The 23,783-nt window shown below is 36.8% G+C and overlaps 1 protein-coding gene across 10 annotated transcripts in view; it reads right to left on the reverse strand.

Moving 5' to 3' along the window:
• Positions 1-622: 622 nt before the first annotated feature.
• Positions 623-23,783, reverse strand: part of KLHL28 (kelch like family member 28) — a 37,624-nt gene continuing 14,463 nt past the window's right edge. For 5 of the 10 annotated variants that reach the window (NM_017658.5, XM_011536847.4, XM_005267770.5 and 2 more), the window contains 4 exons: positions 21,329-22,227; positions 10,414-10,857; positions 7,632-7,840; positions 623-5,490 (listed from right to left, as the gene is read on the reverse strand). In NM_017658.5, coding sequence (NP_060128.2) covers positions 5,327-5,490; positions 7,632-7,840; positions 10,414-10,857; positions 21,329-22,227 — 1,716 coding nt within the window. In that variant the 3' untranslated portion in view covers positions 623-5,326. Of the gene's footprint in view, positions 5,491-7,631; positions 7,841-10,413; positions 10,858-13,985; positions 14,112-21,328; positions 22,228-23,783 lie in introns of those variants that run through there. The other 5 variants (XM_017021378.2, XM_047431492.1, XM_006720174.4 and 2 more) reach the window with 2 other exon arrangements.

Genomic DNA, 23,783 nt, shown 5'->3' on the forward strand with positions numbered 1-23,783 from the left:
ATTACTATGTCTGCCTCGAGTAAACCTTTCTTAAAAGGCTGGTTAGAGAATCTAAAAGAACAGAAAGCTGGGACTGCAATGGGCTTACTGAACACTTTTACTCCTGTTATACTTATGAATGTTTCTTTAGTAAACGTCTGAATGTGTGGCAGAATTTGGCCTATGACATATTTTCTTTTTTTTTTTGAGATGGAGTCTTGCTCTGTTGTCCAGGCTGGAATGCAATGGCGCCATCTCGGCTCACTGCAACCTCTGCCTCCCAGGTTCAAGCGATTCCCCTGCCTCAGCCTCCTAAGTAGCTGGAATTACAGGCATACGCCAACATGCCCAGCTAATTTTTGTATTTTTAGTAGAGACGGGGTTTCAGCATGTTGGCCAGGCTGGTCTCAAACTACTGACCTCAGGTGATCTGCCCGCCTCAGCCTCCAAAAGTGCTGGGGTTACAGGTGTGAGCCACTGAGCCAGGCCGGGCCTAAGACATGTTTTCACTGTAACCTGCTAATGAAGATGTAAAGGAGTGGCTACTCTATGGCTACTACCTATCTATGCATAAAACCCTAAGAGCTGAGCATGACAAAGTTAGCTTGGTTCAGTTCACAATTATCATATGACATATACAAAGTAGATTTTTCATTTTTATTTTAAACATTTTACATTAAATGAAATTTAACCATAATAATTACAGAACATTACCACAATGATACACACAAATAACCTTTAAAATAAAAAAGAATACAATTCTTAACTAGTTAAATGACACTTTAGTGTGTAAACATAAATAAAATAAAACCCTGATGCTAAAAAGGTACATGTTCAGAGGTAAAATACATATACAAAAACATTTAAACTAACATAATCCACAACTAGATCACATTCTTTGCAAGAGAGTACAAATATTAGTACTCTACAGCTACAAAATTTCAGAATCCTGTTAAAATCAAAACCGTTGCTGGTTTATAATACACAGCACAATTCATAAGGCAAAAATATAGGCATTATCATCCAGTTCTTTAACTTCACTTGTATTTTAAGGCAAACTTGGAACTTTTTGCTTAGTATTTAAAAATAAATGGGACTTACACATAACTTGACAAAATTAACAATAAGTTATCTCTAGTAAAGATGTATAATATAAAAGACATATGGATAACAATTTTTCTCTCTGCAGAGATGTAAACTGGATTTTTATTTGACTCCATATTCACACCAGTAGGAAAATTTGTAAACCTATTGTATTAAAAATGTATTGTATTCCTCACTCTTTTCAAATGTGTATCAACACCAAATCAATGTACTGTAAGTGAAAATCCAGTACATATCCAGCCATGGAATAATTGTTATCTAATTAAATCATGTCTAATTAAAGTGCTGTTTACAAAGGGAAAAAAGGTTAAGAAGTAGAACTGGATGTTAACTTGACATGTGACATCTTATAATTCCTTAACTTTTAGACTACAGAGGTTATGAGGTTATCACAAGTTTACTGAACTTTAAGCAGTAAGTGTTTATTGTAGAATCTGATTTTCCTGAAAATGAGCACTTAGGTGACAATACCAGGAATCCAACACCAAAACTGAAAATAAACACAACATGTACATATATTTCTCTCAATGTCAGCCAGAGTCTTGATACTACAGGAAATATATATATTTAAAATTTCTATAGTTTTCTTACTAGAAAATACATTATCCAATTCTAGGAGATTTGGAGTTCTATAAATATTAGGTTTTTTAATATTTCTTTTTCATGCCAATAAAACCTAATTGGACACTAAGGAATTGCTTATGCATAAACTAGGTCTCTAATCACTTCTTACGATGTCAGAGATAAGGAATTAGATTCATCCTTCACCAAAATAGTTATTAGGGTCTCTCCCACTATATTTTACTCTCTTTGAGTGAAAAAGAGTATATCTCTCTAGCTCCCACAGCATCTAACAGAATATCTCATACATATAGCAAACCCTCCATATGTGTTAAATTATCAAAATAAAATTTCAAAACCTAATGCCATTTTCCTATCACTTGATACCACTTCCTATAATTTAATATTCACTCACATTTAAAACAATAACAGCAATAACACAATTTATAAATATCCTTGGAGCTACATTAAAAGCCACTTACATTCTATTACAACATCCAATGATTATTGAATAGCCAAAGGTGCCTAACAGATTAAGTTGTTATAATTATAGAAGGCAAGTATCTTGCAACTGATTACATTAATTTCTATTTCCCAGTGCTGCTCTTTTCCAAAATATTTCTGGGAAATCTTAAATAGCTTTTCTCTTCTTGCCTGAATATGTAAAATTATTTCTAATACTTTTAATCCTGAGGATTTATAACCAAACATTTTGATCCTTTTTAACATAGAAACATGTGGCTTTAAATTCACAATTTGTCAGCAGAGTGTTCATAATGAAACTTCTCACAAATTTGTAAAAGAAGGCGCTAATGTAAACATATTAGTTGTCAGGTCAGATTAGTAGCTCTGGTTGTTACGAATAATACAGTAGGTTAAGCAATCCTAAAATAAATATACTTCTAAATTTTGAACATTTTTCCTCTTCCTTTCACAGATTTTCATAATTTGTTCACTGGTGTATGGCTCCTACTACTACTGCCCAAGATATTTCACATTTAGTCTTCATCAAGATGAAATTTAGATTTTTCAAAAACAATGACCAGTATATGTTTTTGATCTAATTTACCAAATGATTATACACTAATTTGATAGTGGAGATGATACATGAGTAAAATATTGTTAAAATACAATGTATAGAATAGATGTGTTTATAATTAAAATCTTTTTTTTTTTTTGAGGTGGAGTTTCACTCTTGTTGCCCAGGCTGGAGTGCAATGGTGCAAGCTCGGCTCACTGCAACCTCTGCCTCCTGGGTTCAAGTGATTCTCCTGCCTCAGCCTCCCAAGTAGCTGGGATTACAGGTACCTGCCACAATGCCCAGCTAATTTTTTGTATTTTTAGTAGAGACGGGGTTTCACCATGTTGGCCAGGCTGGTCTCGAACTCCTGACCTCAGGTGATATACCCGCCTTGGCCTCTCCAAGTGCTGGGATTACAGGCGTGAGCCACTGCGCCCGTCCTAAAATCATTTTCCACAGTCTTTCAAATTCCCTTATCTTTTGGGAATAGGGGATTAAAAATAGTATAATAGGATATATTTAATAATTTGATTGCTATAAACAAAGAAAACTGAATTGGGGATTTAAAACTAAATATGTGATGAATCTATTTTAAACTGCTTTTCTTTAAATAAAGTCTGGGCCAACTACAATAGTGCACCTATTTCTATGCAATAGATTTATTCAAATCAATGAAAAAGTTATTGCTATATATTATTATGTTATTCAGACAAGCAACATAGAAAATACTCAGACTATCAATTGTTATTAGTTGCTCCTGTTGAGTTCTAAATTAGAAGAGACTAAAAATCACTTGCAAGGTTTTATAATCTGTGCAAATATTCATAAAGCATGATACTACATTTATGATTAAAAATGATTTTACATAGTTTTGTAGTATATATTCAAATCTACAACTGGCAGTTTATGGAAGAACAAAGAACTGTAAATTGCCCGGCTATAGTATTCAAGAAATAAACATATATACTAACAAATGAACCTATGTTTTATAATTACAAATGGCTTCTTAACAATAGTCTAGAACATTATGGCACTTAAGAATATAATATGAATTTTTTTCTTAAGAAAAATTATCTTGCAGAGACTTTATAAGGAGATCGCAAACAGGTTTAAAAAAAATCAAGGAAAAGAAAATCAAATGACTACAGTTCCAAAATACAAGTACCGACATAATAATAAAATGCAAGTGAATGTGTTTAAGACTAACAGACATTTACTAAAACATGCTAAAATCAAATAAGTTAAACACTTTCTTTAAATAAGCTGTCACTGGCTACAGCAAACAATTTTGCTTTAAAAGATCATTTCTTTAATCAAAGTAGAACTCAACTTAGAACTATTACTCAAGTAAACATCGAGTTCCAGTTTTCCTCAATAACCTTAAAATATTCAGTTACCTAAGAAATGTACAAAGTAATGCATAACTGCCTAGTGCTTTATATTTAATGCATATATTTCTGTTTTTAAGAAAGACATGTAATATCTAGCACAAGAAGAAAGAAGATCAAAAGTGTAACTTTCTTTAAATCACTATTCAGGAACCATGAAAAGCATAACACAGGCCATTCTGATGATTTTTGGATGTTAACATTGGCGTAATCACTAACATTTTTAATAAGCACAAATGAATCAAGCCATTAAAAATGCAAAAGACTATCAAAACATGTCATGCATATCTCATACTGAACATCCAAAAGGACATCAGTTATAGCCTTGTTATAAATCCTACAGTTAGCACCATTTTATATCTGAACACTTTGAAAAAGCAAAGATCTTAAAAAACTAAAATTATAAGGATATATAAAAAAATTAATATGCACTAAGAATGGTACTAAACACTGCTCAAATATTTACATCAGCACTGGGAGGCCTGCTGTACTACTGAAGAAAAACTGAAACACCTGATATGCTTAAACTCCTATCCATGCTAACCATAGCATAGATAGGTAATTAAATTCATCCAACGTTAACCTGCCCATATACAAAAGGCATAAACAGTAAATATCTGATTTCCTAAAATAGGGCCCCAAATATCATGATAATAAAAGCAATTGTCTTAAAAATTTATTACATCCGTAGCCCTAAAACCATTTAGCAGGAAAGTATTCAGATGACTACCTATTGGCATGTTATTTACAACCTTTAAAAGTACCAAAATAAAAAGCAGCCCTTTGTTTGTTTTAAAACAAATGAAAAATGTGAAGCATTTACATCCAAGAAGCAGTATCAGCACTCTGTCCATTCATTCAATACACTCCAGCACCTAAAGCATCGCTCATCCTAGAAAATCATGGTTATCAGGGAAGGAGAGCTAAAATAAAAAAAAAAAAAAAAAAAAAGCAGCCACGTTTTGTCTACATGTACACTTATGAACATAAAACTAGTACATCTCAGTCTTGGGGGAAAAAGTGCAGAATTCAATTGGCAAAGTCTTTACTTTTTTTTTTTCTCTTTTTTCTTTTTGATTATTGATTTACTGTGTAATCAAGAGCAACCAAAACTACTTCTCAATTAAAAGTACCCAACAAAACTTTTGAGCCTTCATGCTACTTCAAGTTAAAAAGAAAGCAATGCAGCTTGTGGGTTTCAGAAAACTGGGCCATCCGGATGTTCATGCAGTACAAGTTTCACCACCATACTATTTCCGAGAGTTCACATTTGTCAAAGTGCAGTTAACCCAAAGTTGCAGCGACAGTATATCATGCCAGCTGAATCCAGCCACGTATCTGAGATAGGATCATATTTCTGCACTGTATTCAGATAGGAAGACCCTGAGTGACCACCGACGACATAAAGGTAGTTATCGATTACAGCAGCACCAACTCCTAGGAAAGGTTGGCAAAAAGAAGATAGAAACATGTTAACCATGAAGTATACTTTTTCTCACTAAAAATAAATTTGTATTTTAATGTTTTATTAAAATACATTTTAACAATCTATTATTAATTATACAGGCAATATACAGTAGTCCTCCCTTTATCTGAGTTTTTGCTTTCCATGCTTTCAGTTACCTGAAGTCAACCATGACTAGAAAATAGGGAGTACTGTACAGTAAGATATTTTGAGGGAGACCACATCCACATAACTTTTATTACAATATATTGTTACAATTGTTCTATTCTATTATTGTTGTTGCTAATCTCTTACTGCGCCTAATTTACAAACTAAACCTTATCATAGATATATATGTATAGGAAAAAATATTACATATATAGGGTTTGGTACTATCTGCAGTTTCAGTCCACTGGGGGTCTTGGAATATATATCTCCTGTGGGTATGGGGGGCCTACTGGAGCAATATGAGCTTGATGGAAAAACAAAATCCTTATAATAAAAGTAAGAGTTACTGAGGTGAGAGGATGGCTGGAGGCCAAAAGTTTGAGGCAGCGGTGAGCTATGACTGTTCCACTGCACTCCTGCCTGGCTCGACAGCCTAGGACCCTGTCTAGACACTGAAATAAAATAAATAAAAGCAAGAGTTGAAGTCTTCCTTTACCTCTCCTCTCTAATCCTACTCTTCCTTTCCCTTCACTACAGGAAAATGGAGTATATATCTTTCCATAGGCTATTTTTTTTTAATTTCATTTCATTCTAGAAAAATCATTTTATGAGGTTTTCAAATACATTGAAATATTTAAAATATATTAAATGACATAATTTATGCTTCTAAAAATTCTACTTTAGATATTATCTTATATAGTTCTAAAAAGAAACAGTTTACTCCAATTTTTAAAGTTCTCATTGTTTCTGTGGCTTTCCCTCTCAAGGATACAAAAGAAACAAATTATAGTAAACACTAAAACAGTTCATTTCAGCTTGTCTTTTCAGTTTCTCTTGCATGTTTGTTTCAAAAGGTTCTTTAATCATAAATATAGGTTGAACATCCAATACCCAAAAAATATGAAATCCAAAGTGCTCCAACATTTGAAACTTTTTTTTTTGAGATGGAGTCTTGCTCTGTCTCCCAGGCTAGAGTGCAGTGGCGCGATCTCGGTTCTAGCGATTCTCATGCCTCAGCCTCCCGAGTAGCTGACACTACAGGCATGTGCCACCGCACCAGGCTAATTTTTCATTTTTAGTAGAGATGGGGTTTCAACATGTTGCCCAGGCTGGTCTTGAACTCCTGACCTCAAGTGATCCTCCCACTTCGGCCTCCCAAAGTGCTAGGATTACAGGTGTGAGCCACACCGTGCCTGGCCCAACATCTGAAACTTTTTGAGCACCATATGATGCTCAAAGAAAGTGTTCACTTAAGCATTTCACACTTTAGATTTTTGAACTTGGCATGATCAACCTGGTAAGCATAATTCAAATATTCCAAAATCCCAAATCCAAAACCTGAAACACTTCTGGTCCTAAGCATTTTGGATAGGAAATATTCAATCTGTATGAGGAGTGCTCCCTAAAGCATTTCTGTCAGTATCTTAAAACCTTTCCCTTAAAATGATGTGATGAGTTTGAGTTCAAAGATAACAATTTTTCCTAAACCACAAAAGTGGATTTGTTTTGTTTCTACGAACTCTGAAATACAACCCTTTTTGATCAACTATACCCCCTGGGGAAGAAAGAACATTTGAAAGTGAACATACAGATTACTGATATACAATAGAAAACAAAACAGAACAATCCGAGGATTGTATGTATGTAACATATGAAAAGATGACATTTGTTACATGGACAAAAGGAGCTTCTATAAATACACACTCTAGTATAAGCATTTCCCAAAATGTATTCAGCAAGTTTGAGAAACAATAATATGCACATTGGCATATAAAAGTCACAATAAAGAAATCTATATACTTTTGTCTAGCTAATTGTCTTTCAAGTTTACCACATACAAGTCTTTTTTTTTTTTTTTCTGGACAAGTAATATTCCTACTGCTATATTCCAAGGAACTATTATTGCAAGCACATCATTATAGAAAACATTGCCTTACATGTTTAGAAATTAATAAATTCTTATTACCTGTTCTAGGTTCTTTCATTGGTCTACACACAGTCCACTGATTTTGATGAGGATCGTATCTTTCAATGCTGGACAAATGTGAGACTCCATTATGTCCACCCACCACAAAAATAAAGCCTAGCATGACACCCACGCCAAAGTGAATCCTTTTATCTGCCATGGATGCAACCATCTCCCAGGAGTCCTTACTTGGATCATAACGCTCCACACTGCAAATATTTAAAAAAAATTTAATTTACAGATCTTTTGTGTCATTCTTCCTGTCAAAGCAAAACTAAAACCCACTACAGCTTTAAAAGTTCACATAATAGAGAGATATTAAACAAGAGTAGTCTGCCACAAATGCTTAGGTTTTGCTGATAAGATTGCAAAGATAAAAGCTTACCTTGTAAACAAGGTGCAATTCCATATGCTATTCCATTATATTGTGCAAGCGGCAAAGTATATTAAGAGCATAGAACTTGGAGTCAGAAGACCTGGGTTCAAGTACTAATTCTGTATACCTAGGGCTGAACGAACCTTAACCCTACTGCTGTGGATTTGTGTAATCCTGAATAAGTCATTTCCTCTCACCTGCAAAAATGAGGATAGTGCAACCTGAAGGGATTCATATAAGAATAAAGTCAAATGAGTATGCACGTGACTTTGAAAACCACTAACTGAATACAGACTTTTTTTTTTTGTTCCTAAATTTTATTTATTTATTTTTGAGGCAGGTCTCGCTCTGTCACCTAGGCTGGAGTGCAGTGACAAGATCAGAGCTCACTGCAGCCTCAAATTCCGGGGCTAAAGTGATCTTTCTGCCTCAGCCTCCTGAGTAGCTAGGACTAAAGGTACATGCCCCCATGCCTGGCTTGAATACAGAGGTTTTTAGGATCTTCTATACAGTTAAGGGGAAAAGAAGAGGAAGAGAGGGGTGGGGGGTGGGGAGAAAAACCTTTATTTTTTTTCGTCACAGGAGAATTCATGTGGCTTACTGCAAAGCAATCACTGTAGATTGCATAGTACAAACTGGCTGATCATAATTATCTCAGGGTGATTTAGGAGTACTCAGGAATTTGAGTCAAGACTGTGTTTCAGAGAACGTGTGGCATTTCTAAGCTGCATTATGGAATCCAAATTAAATCAGAATTTTCAAAAAGGCTTCCCTAGAAAATTCTAGCAGCTGTTTAAGACTATGGTTTCCTCTGAAGGTGCACAAAGGCACAGAGGTAAGATTGTTGGGCTTGTTCTGGCCCTAACCTATTTCCTGAAAAAACCATAAGCATTTAACAGGCTGTGACACCATTCTGGAGTTCATAATAGAGACTGGGTAATGTTTCTGAAAGAACTCCAGGATAGAATCCATTAGACCAAAATCATTGAAGAAGAGTTGATGCACTGCAGCAAGACTTTCAAGATAATCAAATTTAAAATACTTAACCTTTTATCTTACAAATTTTGGGCAGAAGCTTTTCAAAGAATAGAAATGCATGTCTATGTCCCATATTTTTCCTTCAACTAAGGGCAAAAAATATAAATAAATAAAAGGAGGAATACTTTGGCTTCAATAGAAGTAAAAATTTACAGATGAAATGCTGTTGTGCCATCACTTTCTCAGTCAACAAACCTCAGTATTTGTAGAGGATTGGTTCCAGGATCCACCCCATCCCAAGGATACCAAAATTTGCAGATGCTCAAGTTCCTTATATAAAACAGTATAATATTTGCATATAAGCTACACGTATCCTCTTGTATACTTTAAATCATCTCTAGATTACTTATAATACTATGCAAATAGCTGTTATACTGTATTATTTTGTTTTTTATTATTGTAAATTTTTTCAAATATTTTTGATCCACAGTTGGATGGATCTGTGGATGTAGAACCCGTGGATATGGAGGGCTGACTGTATGCCCTGTCATTAAAATACTCACAATCAAAATAACACAAACCACTCTAATTACTATTAAAGATACAATCTTTTCTTTTCTTTCTTTCTTTTTTTTTTTTTTTGAGACAGGGTCTCACTCTGTTGCTCAGGCTGGAGTGTAGTAGTGCATTCAAGGCTCACTGCAGCCTCAACCTCCTGGGCTCAAGCAATCCTCCCACGTCAGCCTCCCAAAGTATTAGGATTACAGGCGTGAACCACCACACCTGGCCAAAGATAAAACCTTTGGAACATCAATTTTCAATAAAGGTTCAGAATTACGATTAATTTCTCATATAACTAGTTACTTCATACTTTTATTTTCTCATATATATTTCTCCTTTATTCAGATAAAACTACAGAATACAGATATCACAAATTCAAACTCCAGCACAAGTCAAATACCTGATGATACATGTATGATTACAGGAAAGAATTCAGAAAGGAATATTTAAATAAGGTTTTAAGTTTATGATGTGCTATAATATTGTATAGACACACAGGAATTAAATTTCTACTTCTTTATTCTATTAAGCAATACAATAAAAGATAATTTACATACTGTGCACATAGATGTACACACCACACAAAATCTAAAGTTGTCTAACTTCATCTTATTTTTAGGTTTCTGAGTTTTAAAATCTAGTCCATTTATAGTGAATGAATGTAAAATTTAATGAGAGGGATTTGATTGTTAGGTTTGTATTAAATTCCCATGTAAAACAATTACAATTATATCCATGGAGCAGATTAAGTTTCCCAAATGCCGGAAGTTCATTCATACACACAAATTGTTTAAAACTCAGAAATCATTGCTAATGAGACTTTTAAAAATCCATAAACATATGCAATTTAATTATTAAGTTAAATACCTGTTCATGTGGGCAGGACCATACCCACCAATGGCATATATCATTCCATCCAATACCGCTGCAGCAAAACAACTTCTTGTTGTCGTCATTGGTGCCACAGGTTGCCATTTTCTTATTTTGGGAATGTACTTCTCTACAGATTGTAAATAAGATTGTCCATCATAACCACCTAAGGCATAAAGTTCTCCTGCAAGTACTACTACTCCAAGAGTACTTCGGCTTTCATTCATTCTCTCTAGAGAAGTCCAAGTATTTGTATCAGGATTCCAGCATTCCACTGAATTTTCATGTTTTCTGATAGTGACGCCAGGACGCACATTAGTTGCAATACCACCTATAACATATACTTTTTGGTCTAAAACGCATATTCCAAATTCATAGCGAGGAATGTTTAGGGGTGCCAAACCAATCCAAGAGTCATTCTGAGGAAAGTACATCTCCACACTAAAGAATAAGCAGAAAAAATATAAAATTTAAAAACCAAAGTGGCCCATAAAGACAGATATGTTTAATCTTATTAGTAATCAGGGACACAAAAATTAAAAGCACAATAAACCATGACACACCTTCCAAAGTGGCAAAAAATATAAAGTCAGATAATAATTGTTGGCAAGAATGTGTAGCAAGAAATGCATACTCCGTTGGTGAGAGTGTAAACTTGTATAAATTACTCTGGAAAACAATTTTACATTATCTAAAAAAGTTGAAGATACATGTGTCCTGACTCAGTAATTACATTCCTATATATCTACTCTTCTGAATGTCTATTATAATTTTGCATCTAGATAAATATACACAAATGTTCACAGAAGCACAACACAATCATCCACCAAAAGAATGGTTAAAGTGTACTTTATGTGTCCTGTCTGAGCAACTCTACTGATGAAAAAGGCATGCATACATATATGTCCAAGAGTGTTTACTACAGTATTATTTGTAACAGCTCCAAAGTGGAAACAATCCAAATGTTTATCCACTATAAAATGGATAAATTGTGCCATATCATATAAAAGAATACTACATGGCAATGAAAGGAACAAACTATAGCTACATGTCGCTGGGGGAATCTTACACACATAATGTTGAGATAAAAAAGTCAAATTCAAAAGGATATCAATTAAGTTCAAAAACAGGTAAAACGAATCTCTGGATTAGGAATGAAGATAGTGGTCACTTTTGGGGAGGACAAGAAGGGAGCTCAAGGGTGGCTTTTGAGTGTTGGTCATACTCTGTTTCTTGAACTGGTTTGTAATGTTTACTTTGTGGTAATTCACTGAGCTGTACATTTGGGATTTGTACATTTTTCTGCATGTGTGTAACACTTTAATACTTAAAATTAAAATTTTTATTGTAGAAAGATAAAGTATATTATGCTCATACACTATATAACATATCAATTAAGTGAACCATTTCCTCATGCAATCTCACAGATGAATTTCACAAACATTGTTCAGTGAAAAAACATCTGAATAATATATATTACTGCACTTATATTAAAACGTGTAAAACCTAACAATATATTGGGGCACATTTAATATGTGGCAAAATTATAATGAAAAGCAAGGGAATAGTTCGTAAAAATTCAGGACAGTGGATACTTCTGGAGGAAGGGAGATGGCAGCAAGGAGGGGCACAGGGGGACTTCAGAAGTATTGTTAATAGTCTGTGAAGCTGGTTGATAGGTACTTCAGTATTTATTCTTGATACCCTGCACCCATATACTATATAATCTTTTGCATGTATGTATGTGTATGTGTATGTATATATATATGTGTGTATATATATATATCTTTACCCTCCCCCCGCAAAGTTGGGAAAAAGTAGCTAATGTCCCCAAACTCAATAATGTAACAGCATAAAAAAAGTCCTCCATCCAGTATAATCAAGCTATATTCATTCACTCAATAGTTACAGAATTCCTATTTAAAGTCAGTTTTTATTATAATACTTGTTTTAAAAATATGAATTTGATGCAATGATATATGATGGAGTAGTCTGACCCTAACAAGGTTTAAAAGAGAATGGGAGATAAGGAAGTGAAAACAGGGGGTATAACTTTCCAATGATTTTTACTATAATGAGTAAAATAAATATGAGCAGATAGCTATGAAGTGGGGCAGAGAAAGACCATGGGACCAGAGGGGATTAATTTAACCTGGAAGCTTAAACCAAAATGTGTTTGCATGCTGATGGTAATGATACATATAGTACAGAGGGAGAAGATGATGATATAGGAGAGAGATAGGATAAATGGAAAAGCAAAGTCTTTGTGTAATGCAGAGTGAATGAAATCTAGTGAATAAGTAGAGAGGTGGAAGGGTTGGTCTTAGAAATAACTTGGCAGATTTGGTGTTGGGAAGATGAGGTAGTTCTCTTCTGGTTGCTTCCATCTTTTCAGTAGAATAAGAGGTAAGGGGAAGGGTTTGTGGATGTTTTTAAGAGAGCAGAAGGTGTCAGACATGAGGGAGTGAAAGAATAAACTGATTAAGGAAATGTAGAGTAGTTACTGGGGAGTGCTGAAGGCTCCATGTGAGACAAGTTAAAATGGGTATGTAGGTTTCTCCAGTTACATTCTGCTGCTCAGATGTAGCCATGGCCTAAGTGGAGAATTGAATTTAACTAGATGAGTATGACGGAGGAACAGAAAGGCAAAGGGGCCATGGCGTATTTAAAGGAATGATGACTGTGATGTTTCTCGAATCTAAGCTAGGCAAGATGGAAGATAAGAACGTGTGGTGGTTCAAGAGCAATCAATTCTACTAACTGATTATGGGGCCAATGGATGAAGAATCCTGAAAGGGACAAAGACTCATTGGAGGGTGTGTACTGAAAGAAATAAGCTGGCAAGAAAAAACCACTGTCAAAGAGTGGAATGTGTGAACCAAGATTTTTGAATGTGTTGAAGTCACTGGTAATAACAAAGGCTGGCATCTGAAGTAGGAACAGTCTAGGACTGAGCCCTTAACCTGTAGGATATGGTTAACTCTTAAGACTTAGTGTCAGAATTGAATTGTTTTTTTTGTTTGTTTTTTTCTTTTTTTTTTTTTTTGAGACGGAGTCTCACTCTGTCGCCCAGGCTGGAGTGCAGTGGCGCAATCTCGGCTCACCACAACCTCCGCCTCCCAGGTTCAAGTAATTCTCCTGCCTCAGCCTCCTGAGTAGCTGGGATTACAGGCATGCACCACCACCCTCAGCTAACTTTTTTTGTATTTTTAGTAGAGACAGGGTTTCACTATATTGGCCAGGCTGGTCTCGAACTCCTGAACTTGTGATCTGCCTGCCTAGGCCTCCCAAAGTGCTGGGATTACAGGCGTGATCCACTGTGCCCGGCCCAGAATTGAATTGTTAAATACCTAGTTGATGTCAGAGAATTGGAAAATTGGTTGGTATGAGAGTAAGACTTCTCAGTGATAGTAAGACTAAAGGTTATGATGATGGATTATCTGTAAGTTATGGATTTCTGGAGATGATTTAGCTAAATACATACAACATACAATGTCATTAGTCCTTATGGTCTTTTGATGGTGTCTTAGTTCATTTTCTGCCGATATAACAGAATACTACAGACTGGGTAATTTATAAAGAACAGGAGTTTATTTGGCTCAAGGTACTGGAGGCTGGGAAGTCCAAGAACATGGTGCTAGCATCTGGGAAGGGTCATCTCATGGTAGAAGACATCACATGGATAGCTAGCAAGCCTGTGCACAAGACAGAGAAAATGGCAGCCGGACTTATCCTTTTATTAAGAGCCCACTCTAGCAATAACTCACTCACTCCCACCATAATGGTATTAACCCCTTCAAGAGGGTGGATCCTTCAGGGTCTAGTCACCTATTAAAGGCCCCACCTCCTAATACTGTTCAATGGCAATTACATTTCCAACATATGAACTTTTGGGGAACACTTTCAAACCATAGAATTTTGCCCCTGGCCCTCAAAATTCGTGTCCTTCTCACATGCAAAATATATTAATTCCATCCCAATAGCCCCAAAAGTCTTAACTCATTCCAGCATCAACTCAAAAGTCCAAATTCCAGAGTCTATCTAAATCATATATAAGCGAGAGTCAAGGCATGATACATCCTGAGGCAAATTCCCTTCCTGCTGTGAGCCTGTGAAATCAAAACAAGTTATTTACTTCCAAAACACAATGGTGAGAAAGGCAGAGAATAGATATTCTCCTTCCAAAAGGGAGAAAAAGGAAATACAAAGAGTAAGAGGGCCCAGGTAAGTCCAAAACCCAACAAGGAAAACATTGTCTTCTTTTTTTTTTTTGAGACTGAGTCTCGCTCTATCGCCCAGGCTGGAGTGCAGTGGTGCAATCTCGGCTCACTGCAAGCTCCGCCTCCCGGGTTCACACCATTCTCCTGCCTCAGCCTCCCGAGTAGCTGGGACTACAGGCGCCCACCACCACGCCCAGCTAATTTTTGTATTTTTAGTAGAGATGGGGTTTCACTGTGTTAGCCAGGATGGTCTCAATCTCCTGACCTCGCGATCTGCCCGCCTTGGCCTCCCAAAGTGCTGAGATTACAAGCGTGAGCCACCGCGCCCGGCCGAAAACATTAAGTCTTAAAGCTGGTGAATAATCTCCTTCGACTCCATGTCCTACTTCCTGGATACACTGGGGCAGGAGTTGGGCCCCCAAGACCTCTGGCAGCCCTGTCCCCATAACTTTGCTGGGCTTAGCCCATACAGCTCTCACTGGTTGGAATCTTGTGCCTACAGTTCTGACAGGCTGACGTTGCACACTACTTGCACTACAGTTCTGTGTTTTTTGGGGGTGGCCCCATTCCCATGACTCCCCTAGCCATTGCCCTAGTGAGGGTGCTCTGTAGTGCTTCTGCCTCAAGACAGGTTTCTGCTTGCCCCCTGTGCTATCTGCAACACTCTTACAGTAGGAGAAGGTAGCCATGCCCCCATAACTCTTGTAGTCTGCAAGCCTGTAGAGTTAACATCACATGGCCAACACCAAAGCTTACTACTTGTGCCTTCTAGAGTAGCAGCCTGAGCCACATCTGGGCCTATTTGAGCCACAGCTGGGGAAGCTACACTAGAATGTGGAGAGCAGACTCCCAAGGTGGCCATGGGCAGTGAGCATGTGGAGGGTGTCCCAGGCTGATTCCCCCAAACCATTCTGCCCTCCTAGTGTTCTGAGACTACAACGGGAGGTACAGCCTCAAAGATCTTAAAATGCCTTCAGGGCCTTTCTCCCATTGTCTTGACTAGCACTTGGCTCCCCTGTAACCACACTCATCTCTTTAGCACACATCCTTGGTTTACTTTCCTAAAAGATACCTTTTCACTTTTTACATGGTCAAGCTGCTAATTTTCCAAGTCTTTCTGTTCCGCTTACCATTTAATTATAAATTCCATTTTTAAATCATTTCTTCCCTCTCGCACCTTACTATATGCAGTTAAAAGCAGCCACAAAGCAGCCTGAATGTTCATCGCTCTGAAGTTCTGCATTCCATAAAGTCCTAGGAAACTGATGCAATTCAGCAAGGGTCTTTGCTAATATATAGCAAGGATGGCCTTTACTCTCAGTTTCTGCTTGAGACCTCATCAGAATAGCTTTACTGTGCACATTTCTATCAACATTCTGATCATGCCCACTTAAGTTATCTCTAAAAAGTTCCAGAATTTCCCTATGGCCTCTTCTTCTGAGCCCTCACCAGAATCACCCTTAACATTCTATTCACGGCAATCTAGGCTTCTTCCAGACTCCTACTTAAAATTCTTCCAACCTCTACCCATTAACCAGTTCCAAAGCCACTTCCATATTTTCAGATATTTGTTTTAACAATGGCCCCACTTTTTGGTACCAGTATTCTGCCTTGGCCCATTTTCTGCTGCTAATACAAAATACTGGGTAATTTATAAAGAACAAAAGTTTATTTGGCTTTCAGTTTTGGGGGCTGTAAAGTCCAAGAGCATGATGCCTGCATCTGGGAAGGGTCATCCCATGATGGAAGACATCACATGAAGTGCAAGCGAGTATGTATGTGAGACAAAGAGAAAATGGAAGCAGGACTTATCTTATTATCAGGAGCCCACTCCTGAGATAACTAACCTACTCTCACAATAATAGCATTAATCCCTTCATGAGAGCAGAGCCCTCATGGCCTAATCACCTCTTAAAGGCCCCATCTCTTAACATTGTTCCAACAGCAATTAAGTTTCCAACACATGAATTTTGGAGGGACACATTTAAACTATAGCAGAGGGCAATAATAATCAGTTCTAATAAGAGTTTCATTCTTGAATTAGACCTGTGGTTTATAGTGTTGAGATGAGTGATGTGGCTGAATGTCCATTCAACATTTAACATATTTGCACAACTATTCAAAAAATGCTTTCAATGTATTGCCATCCTTATGACTCCTTATGTATAAGTAGAAACAATACAGTTCTCAGAGCTTCCCCAATTTTCTTAAGTTACCTACCCAATCCCCACTTTCTTCTCTAGCAGGCCTCCTCTCTTAATTAAAGAAAAAAACTAAAGCCATTGGACAAGTGCTGTTTTAAACCCTTGCTTTCAACCCCCCCGCCAGCCAGTAAACCTCAATTGTCTTGAGGCATAAAGAGTCTCTCTTTCTCCTATTCACAACTTTCTATCATTGCTTTTGATATCAATCTCTTCTATTTCCTCTAAGATCTTGCTTCATCAATAAGCATTCATCTATCTTATATCTTTACCCTATCCCTCTTTACTTATCTCTTTATTCATCTAATTATAAAAATACTTGGGAGGCTGAGGCGGGTGGATCACAAGGTCTGGAGTTCAAGACCAGCCTGACCAACATGGTGAAACCCTGTTTCTACCCAAAATACAAAAATTAGCCGGGTGTGGTGGCATATGCCTGTAATCCCAGGTACTCAGGAGGCTGAGGCAGGAGAATCGCTCGAACTCAGGAGGCAGAGGTTGCTGTGAGTTGAGATGATGCCAATACATTCCAGCCTGGGCAACAAAGTGAGACACCTGGGCGACAGAGCGAGATGCCGTCTCCAAATAAACAAAAAAAAACTCATGTCTCTCTCTTCAAGAACAAAATAAAACCAAACAAAACTTCCCCTGATGCTATCAGTTACTGCCTTAACTCTCTCCTTCCTGTCTCTAGCAAGATTCTTAAAAGAAAAGTCTTCATTCAGTTTATTTCCTTACTTTGTATTCACTTCTAGGCCCACTGTAATGTATCTACAGCATTTCTACAACTCTGCTTGAAATTACCCACCAAGGCCAGGCACGGTGGCTCACGACTGTAATCCCAGCACTGTGGAAGGCTGAGGTGGGCAGATCACCTGAGGTCAGGAGTTCGAGACCAGCCTCAGCATGGAGAAACCCTGTCTCTACTAAAAATACAAAATTAGCTGGGCGTGGTGGTGCAAGCCTGTAATCCCAGCTACTCGGGAGGCTGAGGCAAGAGAATTGCTTGAACCTGGGAGGCGGAGATTGCGGTGAGCCGAGATTGCGCCACTGCACTCCAGCCTGGGCAACAACAGCGAAACTCTGTCTCAAAAAAAAAAAAAAAAAGAAAAAGAAAAAGAAATTACCCACCAAAAGTCATTATGTTCTCCATAATGCCAAGTTTAAGAGCCACTTTTCCATTTTTATCTTTCTGGATCTTTCCAGTGCATTTTACATAGCTGATCACATTCCTTCCTTCTTGACACACAAATTCCTTGGCTTTTATGACTCTATTCACTTGGTTCCCCTACCGCTAAAATTGTTCCTGCTGCCCTCATCTTAAATATTAATGTTTCCCAGATTTTCATTCACAATCAATCCTTTTTCCTCTCTATATTTTCTCACCAGGCAAAAGGAGGAACATTTAAACTGTCAATAACTCCATCAAAGACTTCATAGTTTTAATTCATACCTCTAAACTATACTATATGCTGATGACCTTCAAATTTCCAGCCCTGAGCTCTTCTTTGAGCTGTGCACTCATATCCAGCTACCATAGAATATCCTTTACCTGGATATTTCATAGGCACTTCAAACTCAATGTGTCCAAAACTCTTCCCCTGAAAGTGGCTTCTCCTCCCATATTCTCTCTCTCTCTGCATATATGAACCACCCATGTAATCATCTAATCAAAAGAACTCATTCATCTTGGATTCCTCCCTCTTCCTCATCATCCCTCCCTCATATCCATTCAAACACCAAATCCTGTCAATTTACTCTGTTAAAACATTTTTTAAAATGAATGCCCCATTCTCTATCTTTACTACTTCTACCCTAATTTAGGATCTCATCATCTCTTGCCTATATTAGATAAGAGGTTCTACAATAACATCTTATTTAATCAATCTGATATTAATCCTGGCCTCTCAATTTTTCCCATAATACAGCCAGAATGATACAAATCTAATAATTTCACTAACCTCCTTAGAATGGTTTTGCAACCCACATAAAAGTCTTTTTTTTTTTTTAAATCATGGCATACAATAACTTCTTTGACTTGGTTCAAAGACCACTGCTTGACACTTCTTGGTTAGAACCCTTTACTTCTGAATACCAATTAGCTTTTAGTTTCCTGAATATCCCATAATGTATCATGCCATTGTGTCTTTGTACATTCCTCGTGACCTTTCTTCTTTCTCTGCTTGATTCTTGCTTAGCATTCAACACTCAACTTGTACATGAAGTTCTCTACAATTCCTCTTCCCTAAATCCCCCAGATGGGATAAATGGTTCTCTTTAATGTTTCTATAAAACTATCTTGATCGTTGCATAAACATTATGTATTATTTTCTACATGTCTCCTTTACTAAATTATGAACTTGTTGAAGGTCAATTATCTAGCAGTGTATCTGATGCACAGGTGTTTAATATCTTTTGTAGAGTTAACCTGAATGATCATTCAGGTTGGTTTTAATTTTTCCAGAGTTATAATAATGCTGCAATAAACAGCTCTATGCAAATAATACTTTTAATTTTTAAAATTTTATTATGATAGATTCTATGATAAAAGATTACTATGTCAAAAGATATGAACAGGTCTTATTATTCTTCAATAATTTGTTATTTTTAATAGTTGAGAAAATAAGAGGCAACTGCTCAAAAATTTTTACACTATAAATACATATTCGAAAATTTTTGTCATAATATTTACTAATATAATTTACTTTATGCCAGTAACCAGTGCATTTCAGAATAAGAGTTAAACAATCAATTCGTGTAGCTAACATAACTAATGTTCTATGTGTAGCCCAGTCTCAACAATACTAGTTTCAGGTTACAGTTAAAATGTATTATGAGGCTGGGTGCAGTGGCTTTTGCCTGTAATCCCAGCACTTTGGGAGGCCAAGGCAGGTGGATCACCTGAGGTCAGGAGTTTGAGATCGGCCTGACCAACATGGTGAAACCCCGTTTCTACTAAAAATACAAAATTAGCTGGGCATGATGGCACATGCCTGTAATCTCAGCTACTTGGGAGGCTGAGGCAGGAAAATCACTTGAACCTGGGAGGCGGAGGTTGCAGTGAGCTGAGATTGCACCACTGCACTCCAGCCTGGGCAACAAAAGCCAAACTCTGTATCAAAAAAATAAAAAATAAAAAATAAATAAAATAAATAAATAAATAAAATGTATTATCGGACTTTTTTTTTTTTTTCAAAACAGGGTCTCATTCTGTCACCCAGGTTAGTGTGCAATGGTGCATTCATAGCTCACTGCAACTTCAAACTCCTGGGCCTAAGCAATCCTCTTGCCTCAGCCTCCTGATTAGCTGGGACTACAGGAGTGCAACACCACTCCCAGATAATATTTTAAATTTTTTGTAAGGACAGGATCTCGTTATAATGCCCAGGCTTGTCTCAAACTCCAGTCTCAAGTGATCCTCCTGTGTTGGCCTCCCAAAGTGCTGGGATTACAGGTATTTTGAGACTTTTTTAAAGATGCAGAATTTATCAGTTGCCATTGATGAAACGTCAAGTTTCCTAACATTGGAAAGGGAAAAGCAATCTACCAAATTTTTGGAAATGGTCAGAAATCCACAGTATTAAAAAATATGTATTAAACACAAAAGTTTTCATGAAGCAATCCTATCTAAGAAAAAGCAAAAATAACTTCAAGCTATATTTTCAATGTATAAAAGTTACTAGTATAATGCACCAAATTAAGGGTTGGCAAGCTATCACCATGGGCCAAATTTAGCCCACTAGCTATTTTTATAAATAAAGTTTTATTGGAACACATCCATGTTCATTCACTTATGTATTATCTATGGCTGCTCTCACACTACAATGGCAGAGTTAAGTAGATGCCACAAAGATTACATGGCTCACAAAGTCTAAAATATTTACTGTTTGGTCTTTTATAGAAAAAGTCTGACAATTCCTAATCTAAGTTATTGGGGGGAAAAACATATTTCTTAATGCTGTCTTTTAAAAATACACTGAAGAAAACAAATTACACTCAAAGTACATAATTTATATCAGTATCCTATTTTTTCTCATTTCTTTGGTAGCACTTCTAGTGAACTGTTTTCATTCAAACCCATTCCTGTCCCCAGTTCCCTCACCACAGGTTCCTAGTTCTCTTCTTTGCTATCTTCTGATATAATTGACAATAATAAATCTCTTCTGATGTGGTCTGACTCAAATAAACATGTAAATGGTTCCAGAAAGAAAAAAAGAAAGAAAGAGAGAAAATGGAATAAAAGTTTGTGAGTAACCAGGTGGATAAAGTGTGCACTTGGGGAGATGGTTAATAATTGAGAGTATTGTAAAGAATGAATGACAATATAATAAAAACAATCACGTAAGTATTTTAGGAAGAAGAAAAAAAACTAAAAAGAAGCAAAGAAAAGTAAAAAGGAAAATCAAACTATTTTTAAAATATAGAAAATCTGCACATTTAAAAAGCATAAAATCAATTAGCATCATTCATTTAGGAAAGCCTTCTATTTACCTATCCAAACAGGCAAAGAGTCCAGATTTCCCTCCTACTGCACAAAGTACTTTGGGAGCACAGCGAGGTCGTGTCATCAAGACTGTCTGATGAGAGAGTCTATGTTCAGGCATAAAGTGGTACTTTAGGGCTTCATTCAAAAGATGTTTACAAGTGCGATCATCACGAATAAGATGATTTGCTTCATATAGTCTAGTGAGAAACTTAACACTCAACAATGGTAATCGTACACTGTTTAGTAACTGTGCTAAGTATTTCTGGCGTTCTTGTACATCATACTTGATCCAAGACTCTAATGCATAAAAAACAGTCTCTTCGGTAGCTACATTCAAACAGTCATTGGAAACAATTTCATCCAAGTCAGCATGTGTAAGCTCAAAAAACTCTTCAGTCTGGCAAACAGCTTCAAAATTCTGGCATATGTATTTAGTGGCTGCCAAATAAAGGTCACGGCAACCATATGTTTCTGCAAAACGAGAAATTCCAATACAATTACCAGGATCAAGTTGGCTTTCAAGAAATGCACAACATTCTTTCAGGACAAGTTTTATCTGGAGTAGGTTTGCTGCTGGCAGGAGAGATTCAACTGTGTCCTGAGAAATAAAAACAGTCCCTGTATAGGCATACTCCACAATGGCCTGGAGAGCAGTTTCATCAATGCATTGAAACTCAACCTCACTGTTCTCTTTTTCAGAAAGGTTTCCAGTGAACATAGCTTTGAAATACGGGCTGACGCTGGCAAGTACCACTTTGTGAGCATGAATTTTAACATCACCTACTCGAAGAATGATGTCACAGAGTTCGTGATGTTGGCGAAGAAGATTCAAGCCCTGCAGAAGTTGTTCAGAATGCAAGTGGGTTAAGTTAGCAAGCATGTAGGTCGGGGATGTGTGGTCCATCTACAGAAAAATAAAAAAGCATAGACAGTTATTTCAAAGTAAACTTGTCAAAAACACTGCTTTTCAAATAGTACAGAATAATCAGATTTGTAATTTATTTGTCTGTTCATTGGTTTTTAAATACTTCATAGTAAATACTAGAACTAGAGGCTTTCAGAGTTAGAAGAGATTTAACAATCACATCATTCAACTTATTTATTATAGATATTAGGAAATGGAAGCCCAAAAGGTTACATGAGATGCCCCAAACCAAAAAAATCTCTGACAATGGACTTTTGGATCAAAACTTTACCAACTTTTTCATTTTGTTTCCCCTGCATTAAATTCAAGTCTGAGCTATCACTGAAATAAAATGAAAATATGAGGGGAAAAACTTGGTTAAAGTAAAATTATATGTAGAACAAACAACACTATTTGCCAACCAACAGATGCTTTAATTGGGCAGAAATTTCATATTAACATACTTTACCCAAAATTTCAATAATTGCTTTGACAGAGGGTGCTGAATTTAATGAAGGTACTATTACCACCAATTAATTTAATTAATTATGAACAGAATCCAAAGTCCCATGAGGGCAATAAGGCTCACTTACTGATCTATATATACCATACCCACTCAACTCTTTTTTTTTTTTTTTTTTTTTTTAAGATGGAATCTCACTCTGTCGCCCAGGCTGGGGTCCAGGGGCATGATCTTGGCTCACTGCAACCTCTGCCTCCTAGCTACAAATGATTCTCCTGCTTAGCCTCCCAAGTAGCTGGGATTACAGGCACCTGCTAACATGCCTGGCTAATTTTTATATTTTTAGTAGAGACAAGGTTTCACCATGTTGGCCAGGCTGGTTTCAAACTCCCAACCTCAAGTGATCCACCTGCTTCGGCTTCTCAAAGTGCGGGGATTACAGGCATGGGCCACCACACCCGGCCTCAACTCTTGATCATTAATTCAGATCATGCCCACTCAATCTACTTGCCACTTTGTGCTTCTGGAAGATGAAAAAGAATAAAAATAGCAGGGAAGAAAAGGGATGAGAAAGAAAAGAAAGTGGAGAGACAATAAAGACTATGGTAGGCAGAATAATGGCTCCCCAAATGACATTCACATCCCTATCCCTGGAATCTGTGAATATTACTTTATATGGCAAAAAGGGACTTTGGAAAGGATTAACAATTTTGAGATGGGGACAAGATCCTGGATTATCCAAGTGGGCCCAAAATGCAATCAACATGTACCTTATAAGAAGGCAGAAGGAGACGTGACACAGACAGAAGAGGAGGTCATGTGACTAAAGAGGCAGAGACTAGAGTGCTGCAGCCACAAACCAAGGAATGCTGGCAGTCACCAGAAGCTAGAAGAGCCAAGAACAGATTCTCCCGTAGAGCTTATGGAAGGAGCATGGTCCTGCCACCTTAATTTTAGCCCACTGACACAAATTTCAGACTTCTGGCCTCCAAAACTGTGAGAGAATACATTTGTTTTGTTTTAAGCAACTGAGTTTGTGTAATTTGTTACAGTAACCTTAAGAATTAATACATGGATATTTCAGAATGGATTG

This window comes from Homo sapiens, chromosome 14 (assembly GCF_000001405.40).
Source record: "Homo sapiens chromosome 14, GRCh38.p14 Primary Assembly".
NCBI lineage: Eukaryota > Metazoa > Chordata > Mammalia > Primates > Hominidae > Homo > Homo sapiens.